Source organism: Homo sapiens, chromosome 21, assembly GCF_000001405.40.
Source record: "Homo sapiens chromosome 21, GRCh38.p14 Primary Assembly".
NCBI classification, from domain to species: domain Eukaryota; kingdom Metazoa; phylum Chordata; class Mammalia; order Primates; family Hominidae; genus Homo; species Homo sapiens.
Window position 1 is genome coordinate 30,860,156 of NC_000021.9, and position 10,400 is coordinate 30,870,555.

A 10,400-nucleotide genomic window follows, 5' to 3' on the forward strand; every position below is an offset into this window, starting at 1 on the left:
ACCAATAAATTTTTGAAAACAGGTGATGATCAGATGCATCTTATCAAAGAAATAATAGAAGAGAATTTTCTATAAATGAATGGACGAAAATCAGGAAAGAATGTTCCATAATATTCTGATTAAAATGATCCATTGAGTATCTAAAACGGTGACTAAAGAGAGATTTATATCTACTGTTTCAGTTGTCTACTGCTGTATAACAAATCACCCAATAGTCAGTGGCATAAAACTACAACTACTTTATTATAATCATGGATTTTGTGGATGAGGAATTCATATAGAAGACAGTGAGGATGGCTTTACTCTTTTCCATGATGTTTTGGTTCTAAACTGGGAAGACTTGAATGGCTGGGAGTGATCCAAACAGCTAGAGAGTAGAATCCTCTTGAGGCTTCTCCACTCATGTTTCTGGTACTTGGGCTGGGCTGATCTTAAAGACTAAGTTCGGCCCAAGGCTGTCAACCTGATCACCTACACATGACTTCTATACAGGGCCATGGCTTTTTACAACAAGGCAGCTAGGCTCTGAGAACAACATGGAGCTTCCAGAGAGCTAGAGTTCCACAAGAACCAGGTGGAAGGGGCAAGGTCTTTCATGACTTAACCTCGGAAGTCACCTAGTGTCATCTTCTATAAACTTTATTTGTTGAGGCAGTCTTTGACTTTATTTGTGACAAGCAGTGACAAGTCCAAATTCAATAGGAGAGAATATAAACTCCACCTCTCAATAAGAGAAGTATCAAAGAACTTAGAGGTCATGTTTTAAAATTGCAACTCTTACATACATCACTATGAAATTTCATAATGCCAAGGATAAAAAGAAGATCCAATACTTCCAGGAAAGAAGGGGAAAATGACCACAAAGGAAAGACAGTCTGCTATTGCAATCGACTAATATTGCATTAAATAAACAAACAGCTAAAGACAGAGAAGGAAAACTGTCTATATAGTGGTAGAAAATTATTTTCAACCTCATATTCTATATCTAGTCCATCATTCAAGTTTGAGAAATAATAAGACATTCTCAGATGCATCCACCCGAATTCAGAAAACTTACAGTCTACACATCCTTAGGAATTACCATAAGAATTGCTCCAAGAAAACAAAGGATTTAAACAAAGCCTGGAAGACACAGTGTCTAAGTTCATTTTATGTTGCTGTAACAGAATACCATAGACTGGGAAATTTATCAAGAAAAGAGATGTATTTGGCTCATGGTTCTGGAGGCTGTGAAGTCCATGATTGAAGGGTCACATCTGGGAAGTGACTTCGTGCTGCCTCAGACACGGCAAAAGGTATCACATGGCAAAAGAGGACAAGACAGGCTGAAAGTTCATGAGATAAAGAGAGAAAATGAGAGCTGAACTTCTTCTTTTATCAGGAGCCCATGCCAGTGATAACTAAATGCGGCCCAAGACAAATTCATAAACTTTCTTAAAACATTATGAGATTTCTTTTGCAACTTTTTTTTAACTCATCAACTATCATTAGTATTAGTGTGTTTTCTGTGTGGCCCAAGAAAATTTTTCTTCTTTCAGCGTGGCCCAGGGAAGCGAAAAGATTGAACATCCCTGCCCTAAACCTTTTCTAATAATATTACCACTTTGAAAACAGCACAGAGAAACAGATTTGAGCTTCACACTCCGATCTCCTTGTTGAGTCAACTTGCAATACAAAGCTTTTTTTTTCTTCCAAAATTCCAGTGTCATAGTATTGGCTTCTAGTGCATTGGACAGTGAGCTCCTTTTGTTCTGCAATAGAGCCTGGAAAGAATGTAGCCTTGCCAGTGGGCACCATTACCCCTGTTCCACGTAACAATCACTACAATAAACAATGGCCTGCATGATGTAACTTGGCTTTTAAAAAAGAATAAGATGATGTCTTTATTTTATAAAACTAAATGCATGACATATAAATACAGACAGATGTTTTTCTTTTTCTCTTCCAGAGCACATAGGGTCACACACCTGTGGGAAGATGAAGTTAAGCAGGAGTAGGAGGAGTTTACAGTAGGAGTTTACAATAGTATTTTGGCCAGAGCTGTAGTGCCATTGGTAAGAACAGTCACAGAAACACCAGGAAACATGAAGGACATGCACATCATCCCCCATGACTTCTCCTTCAGAAGGTTCCAGACACTTCTTATCTTCAAAGGAGCTTATTTTACTCTTTGTGTCAACAAAGACCACAACTAGCTTATTAAAAACTTTCTCTTATGAGGCTTAAAGTTCTTTTCTAACCAAAATGTTCATTTGAGTATCTCAAATGCTTGTTCTTATTTTTAGTATTTGAGGATTCCATGAGGAAAGTGAGATTTTTTTCCGGCGCTTATTCCTTAAATGCTTTTCATCTTTGCTGGTATTTCCTCCTAACCTTCACCTTTCCAGAGAGAAAATCCGTAATGCTTTTTCTTCTTCTCCTTCTTCTTCTTCTCCTTCTTCTTCTTCAGAAGCTAGCTTTCTCCTTGAATAATTTAGTTACACTTCATGTTTACCTCCTCTTACATCTTAAAATGCAATGATATCTGTAAATAATGGTTCAAAAAAGAAAGAAACAAACAAAGTCAAACTAACACAATGTCTTATTCTTGAGGCATGTGAATAAATACTCCAGTTAGGGATTTGAGGTGGCTTTAGCGTAGCTGACAGAGGAAAAGATTCACTTAGGCCACACCTCCTTAACCTGTCCCTAGGCCTCCCTTCTCTAATCTCACACTCCTCACTAAGATCAGGATAAAACCTGAAATATCAATATGAGGACCATACTATTGAATGGCTAGAAACTGTTCTTCATCTCTCCACCTCTGGCGTTCACTATGTTTCAGCAGAAAAAAAAAAATAAAGGTCAAAAGGACTGTTAGGTAGAATTGAATAGAAGAGAAATTTATTGAATCAGAATAAAATAAGGGTGGATTTTAAAGTGAAAATTTACATTTTATGATGAATACTTGAAAGTATTGTGTTAATAGAAATATATTAGGTTAGTAAATTCAGAAGGTTTTCCATCTTTTTAGGAATAGTAAATGACACAAGATGAAGGAGCTGCTGTTTTCATTCTTGTGAATGAAGAAAATGTTAACTTTTGATGAAGTGGAGCAAAGGCAACATCCCATATTAAAGTTACTACAATAAGAAAATTTTGTGGTTAATTAAGCACATTGCCTTGCTACCTCTACATTGGGAAAGAGACTGAAAAAAAAAGTTGGGAAAAGTTTCTGAAGTAAGATCAGAACTGTGGATTGTGAATTTAAAAGACTGAACTGAATGGATTGTAAATTAAAAAGACTGAACTGAACCAGCCAGATCTAGAATTTTGGAGTAGCCTCTGTAAATAAATAAAATAATCATTAACACACACAGACCCTTTATTCAACCTGGTATCATTTTTTGCATGGAAAATAAACCCAGACTAGACATGAATTCATTCTCTCAGAGCTTTATAAATTGACTTGGGCTGTGAATGACGTGGTTGCTTGTTACCATAATTGTACTTAGTGTCCCTTAATGCCACCAGAGAGGAACAAGTTCACTGAGGGATCAGCACAGATGGAAGAAGAAGTTCTAACTGTCATTGAAACGTGTCTGAGCTCACAATGTGTATCACATTAATAGCTAGTGTGCTGAGCTAATACAATCTTGTACTATCCCAATAGAAATTCAATGTCAAGTTTTAGCTTTTCATCTGTACTGAGACCAGAGATAATCCTATGAGTGTTGCAGTATTATTTTTTTTCTAATGATTAGGTTGCTAAGCCATTATGATTTTAAATGGATTCTATTTTTCAATTAAATATAGTTGTATTTTGCCAATTACATTTTTAAAAAAAGAAAATTTCTTCTCAGTTTCTGAAGTTGTAAAAAAGTAGTTGAATAATAATACTTCAACTATTTTGACAGAAAGTTAAACACTACTACTACTTTTTTTTTTTTTTTTTTTTTTTTTTTTGGAGACACAGTTTCACTCTTGTTGCCCAGGCTGGAGTGCAATGGTGTGATTTCAGCTCACTGCAACCTCCACCTCCCGGGTTCAATCAAGTCTCCTGCCTCAGTCTCCCCAGTAGCTGGGATTACAGGCATGCACCACCACAGTCGGCTAATTTTTTATTTTTAGTAGAAACGGGGTTTCTCCATGTTGGTCAGGCTTGTCTCAAACTCCCAACCTCAGGTGATCTGCCCGCCTCAGCCTCCCAAAGTGCTGGGATTACAGGCGTGAGCCACCATGCCTGGCCCAGTCCTACTTCTTTATGTGTGATGTAATTATGGTTGAAATAACAATTAAAAGAACCAAATGCTAAACTTTTCCTAGGTGGTCCTTGCAATTTGCTTATTTAATTGGTTTGTTATAAGTACTGTCCTCTCAGTGGTTCCAAGGTTGTACATGATGTTTAACCTTGGATGTAATGCTTTCCAAACAAATCAGACTAGAATGATCAAGGGAGATGGAGTGGGTTATAGCAGCCCCAGCAATACGTATCCAAATCCTAACCCCTGTACTCATGAATATGGCCTTTTTGGAAATAGGGTCTTTGCAGGTGTCGCTAAGGATATTGAGATGATATCATCCTGGATTTAGAATCAGCCCTAAATTCGATGATGTGTATCTTTATAAAGACAGAAAAAGAAGAGACAAAGAGATACAAGACAAGGCCATGTGAAGACAGAGGTAGAGATTGGAGTGATGCTGCCACAAGGCAGATACCACCTAAAGCCCCCAGAAGATGAAAGAGGCATGGAAAGATTCTCCCCTACATCATTCTAAGGTAGTGTGGCCCTGTCTACACTTTGATTTCAGAATTCTGGCCCCACAACTTCGAGAGAATAAATTTTGTTGTTTTAAGCCATGCAGTCAGTAGTGGTTTATTACAGCAGACCTAGGACACTGATACAGAAGGCATCATGGAAATACAGCATCTCAATGCCACTTTGAAGAATGGGAGGAAACTCAGCAGGAAAGGGAATAAGAAAATATGTTTAGGTATGAAAATCCAGGACATTCATAGATAAACTCTGATTTTGAATGAATTGTTCTGTTCCTACAAACAAATGGTCATATATAGATTGGAAAAGTAATTGTGGCCTGGTAGGGCATTGATTGTCAGCCATATATATATATACACATATATATATATACACACATATATACACACATATATATACATATATATACATATATATACATATATATACATATATACACATATATATACATATATATACATATATATACATATATACACACACATACACACACACAATACTTTATTAGGCAACAATAGTACTTTACAGGTCTGTTTTGTTTCAAAGTTTACAAAAGGTCTTCACATATTATCTCATTTAAATCCCACAGCAAACTTATGAATTAGGCAGCAAGGGTATTATTATATAAATGTTATAGGTAGAAGTGGATTCCCCTCCAGTTGTTAAGTAACCTCCTCAAGGTTGTGCACCTCATAAGTGGCTCCCAAGAATACGAATTTTTTACCTGAAATCCAACATTCTGTTCATTACATCTTGATGATTTTAGTAAATGATAATGACCTTAAAAAGTATGATTATGAGATCACGATGGCGTAGTAAGAATATTAATTTGGATAAGAGGTTATAGTTAGGTAACCCTATTAGCCAGCTATTATAAGAGTCAGGTATGAAAGAATCAAGGCCTAGGTCAAGCTGGTCTCAATGCAGGCACATAAGAGCACATGAGGAAAATGCTGATGAAAAAGCGTCAAACTATGTTAAACTGTGTCCACCATGCCTTACCAATTTTGTCATATTTTCTTAAATCCTTTCCTACTTTGAATTTTCTATAAACATTCATTGCATTCCTATATACTGAGATATATTATACTTTTTCTGGCTTCTCCATTTAGCATAACTTTCTGCATGCTTTGGTACATCTTTTTTTCTACAAAAGAACTAGCAACAACTGAGAACCTCGTCTTTGCATCAGGTAGGATTTATCCTACATGAAATCTAACAAAAAGATTCCAGAATTAAAATTGGTTAAACACACACACACACACACACACACACACACACACACACACAATTGGATTAATCACCTAAACATATTGTACTCAAATGAGTTCAGATAAAATCCTCTGATGACATAAACCACTTACATTGAAAGAGACTATAAGAAACTGTTATTGGCTTGGCAGATGGAGGGAGCAGATATACTAAGATTGAACTCCAAAATCTGAAAAATTCTTTCTTATACAATTAAAATTTTAAAATAGCAAGATTGGATATACCTTGATAGCTAAAAAAAAAAATAGTTTAGCTAACATAGCTACATTTTAACAAATATTACCCATGTCAGATTGAGTGTATATATATATATATATATATACACACACATATATATTTTTTATATATGTTATATATATTATAATATATGTATTATATATAGTATATACATCAGCACATTGAGACTGAAATAGAACATACAGGAAAGAAACCAGCTTAACTTTCCTTCACTCAGCATTTTTCACATATATTTTACCTGGAATTTTTTTGATGGGGAGATAAAAGAGAAAGGAGGAGTATTTCTTTTTGATAATCCACGGAATTAGAGCTCCAGATAATGCTGCTCTAATATGTTTAGTCAACGTGCCTGCTGTGGAATAACAGCATTTTTCACATATATTTTACCTGGAATTTTTTTGATGGGGAGATAAAAGAGAAAGGAGGAGTATTTCTTTTTGATAATCCACGGAATTAGAGCTCCAGATAATGCTGCTCTAATATGTTTAGTCAACGTGCCTGCTGTGGAATAACTATTTTCCTTTGTGCAAGTGGCAGCAGTTAGAAGCAAAATACTAAACAATTCAAATAAATGACAAGATGTGCCAACCTTGTCGACTGAATTGGTGTCATTACTTTTTTCAAGAAATATAAGATTATGCACAGAAACTGAGAAAGTAAAAAGAAAAGATGAAAAGGGAAGAGAAAAAAATGCTGATATTTTTTAAAAAGTATTTGGAAAACTAGTTTTATCTTTCAATATTATGCAAACTATGTTCTGGATGAAAAACATCTAGGTTCTTCGCACTGAAGAAAAAAACGCAAGAAACAATATTGCAGAAATATAGATCTCAAGGTACAGCCAAAGAAGATTGTGAAGATTCCAGATCTACTTGCAAACTCTTCCATAGCTGCTCATTTCAAAAGAAAGTGTGATGACCAGTCAACACAATGTAGCATGTTCTCTGGTCCATAACTTCCAGACCCAAAGCTGCAGACCTCGGAAGCTGAGGGAAGAGGGTCCTAGTGATGACTCAGAATGGAATACATTGCGCCCATATATTTTTCTATAATAAAACTGCAACACCAAGGTTTTGGGAAGGTTATCAGTCCCCTAAGAGTACAAAAGCCCAGCCTGGCCAACATGGTGAAACCCCGTCTCTACTAAAAAACTACAAAATTAGCTGGGTGTGGTGGCATGAGCCTGTTATCCAGCTACTTGGGAGGCTGAGGCGGGAGAATTGCTTGAACCCTGGAGGTGGAGGTTGCAATGAGCTGAGATCACAGCATTGCTTTCCTACCTGGGCAAAAAGAGTGAAACTCTGTCTTAAAAAAAAAAAAAAAAAAAAAAAGGTACAAAAGAAGCATGTTCCCAGAGAAAGAGTTGTGATTCTCTCAGTCAGGAGAGAAAGATAAAGTGTGAAGGGAAGAACAAATTCCTGGAGTTTGATGTCACCTTCCTCCTAGAGACATCTGTATCTTTCCCCTCATTAAAAAGTGTGTCCCCACCTAACGACCTTCCTTTGTAGTGTGCATACTAATTGACTGAAAAATCCCTTTCTATAATCTTAAGTAGCAATATTTCCTAGTTCAGTAGGAAATTTACTTAATTTTGTGGAGGAATTAAAGCAACAAATTATAAGGCACATACACTGTTTTCAAAGAGTGGGTTTGGCTATGAAACCCATTCACCTTTGTTATTTCTCAAGGGACTGCTCTTTATGCAACAACTGTATTACTTTGTCTTTTGTGAAGGCTACTGTCAAGCCATTGTCAGCCTAGTATTTCACAGTATCCAAAACACACGAATGATTTGTGAGGGAAATCGTGTCAATGTATTTCTAGATGCAGCAAGTGATCAATAGAAATACATAGAACTTGGTCATGAGACAGTCTCCACATAAATCTCAGTGTGTTTAATCAAACCTATCCATTAACCCACAGAAAAATTCATGTTGGAATAGTGCAGCATATACATCCAAAGACCCAATTGCTCACCTGATCGTACCCACCTGGATGTTCTGCCTAGGTCTCAAATGCAGTAAGCTCTAAACAAAAATCATCATCCATCGCCCACCACCTGTATCCTTTGACTGTGTTCCTTCTCTTGATAAAGGACACACTATCCACCCTGTCTTCCAGAATAGAAATTTCAAAACCATCTTTAAGTGCCAATTCTTTTGGCAGTCCCCCTTCACCTCCAATATCACTGGGACCTCTGGCCATCAAGAAAACACAACTCTAAACACCCTCTCATGACAATTTATTAGTTACATTAAAAAGAACTAAACTCATCACATGACATTCAAAATACCCAACATAGAGATTATTGATTTACACTTTGTCTTCCTCCCTTAATATTCACCCACTATGTTGGGTGCAGTGGCTCATGCCTGTAATTCTAGCACTTTGGGAAGCTGAGGCCAGTGGATCATGTGAGTCCAGGAGTTTGAGACCAGCCTGGGCAACATAGTGAAACCCCATCTCTAGAAAAATGAGCTGGGCATGGTGGTGTGCACCCGTAATCCCAGCTACTTGGCAGGCTGAAGTGGGAGAATTGCTTGAACCTGGGAGTTTCAGGCTGCAGTGAGCTGTGATCAGGCCACTGCACTCCTGCAGCCTAAGTGACAGAGGGAGACCCTATATATATATATGCATATGTTTGGGATTTATATATATATCCCAAATATATATATTTATTATGCATATATATATGTACATATACACACACACATATATATTTGAATATATATACATATATGTGTATATATATATATATATATATATATATTTGAATCAGAGCAGAATTTGATTAGCCAGCCTGTTTGACACTTTATATCACAGAATGTAGACGATAAAATAATGTAATGATCCTTCAGGATTATGCTGCATTGGCTCTTGCACAAGTCACATGGATATTTCCATCTTTCTTCTGTATATATCCATATATACAGGGTCTCCCTCTGTCACTTAGGCTGCAGGATGTGTGTGTGTGTGTATATATATATATATATATATATATATATACACTCACAATAACATTATTATGAAGCCACACTGACTCCAAATACACTAAGCATTGTTGGAGCCACACCAAACCTCACTGTTTTCTGAACACAGTGTAAGCTTTCATGACCCCACAGTTTGGGGCTTGCTGTTTCATCTATGGGAATCTACCCTCCCTTTTCTTCCCTCATTCTGCCCCATCCAACATCATTACTCCTCCCTTTACCTCGTGGGCCTCGTGATCTCATCTATTCTTTAAGACCCAGTTCAAATTATTTTCTTTAGGAAATCTTCCCAGAAGTCTCCACCCCAGAGAAAAATCAATCCTCCTAACTTTATAGATCCACAGCACTTTACATATGCTTCTCTATTGTGGTACTTACTTCGTGTTAACTGGTTACTTACATATCTGCTTCCTTACTATATTAGAAACTCCAAAGAGACATCGTCCAATTACTATCAGATATTCAATAAATATTCACCAGATGAATGAATCATTAGCTGAACAATTGGTTTAAATAGTAAAGTTATTCTAGTACTCTGTGATTTTTAATGTGTAAATGACATCTCAGAGTTACTGAAAACTCCCTTTTCAATACGTCTCCTGAGGTCATCTTATGCATTTCTTCTGTGGGAGATATGCAAATTTAGAAACTGAAATAAGAAAATAAAGCCATCAAATAAGAAATAAAAAAAGGAAAGGAGAAGGAGGAGAATCTAATCATAAACCATCAATTTTCCCTATGACCCTAAAGAGACCAGTCAGCAGCTTTGAAAAATCATTCACTTGATAGATTGTGCTCAGAAGTAAGTTCTTTGGAAAAAAAAAGAATTAGAAAAATATTCTAAAATGCCAAAGGTTTTTGGGGTTTTGCAGTTGGTTTATTTGGCATTAGACTGTCACATCTCACTTTGAAAGGACAGAGTCACCCATCAGAACATTACACAACTCAGTCAGCTGTATTTGCTCCTAAGTGTATTTTGCATTTTCAATTACAGTTGCACCAGAGATACAGCCAACCTCAAAGAATTTCACTGAGAGCCACTCACATAAAACATGGCCTCGACATGTTAATTTAGCAGCACACATGGAACACCGGAGAGCCTGGCAGCCTTAACTTTGTATCAGGGCAGAATTTGATCAGCCAG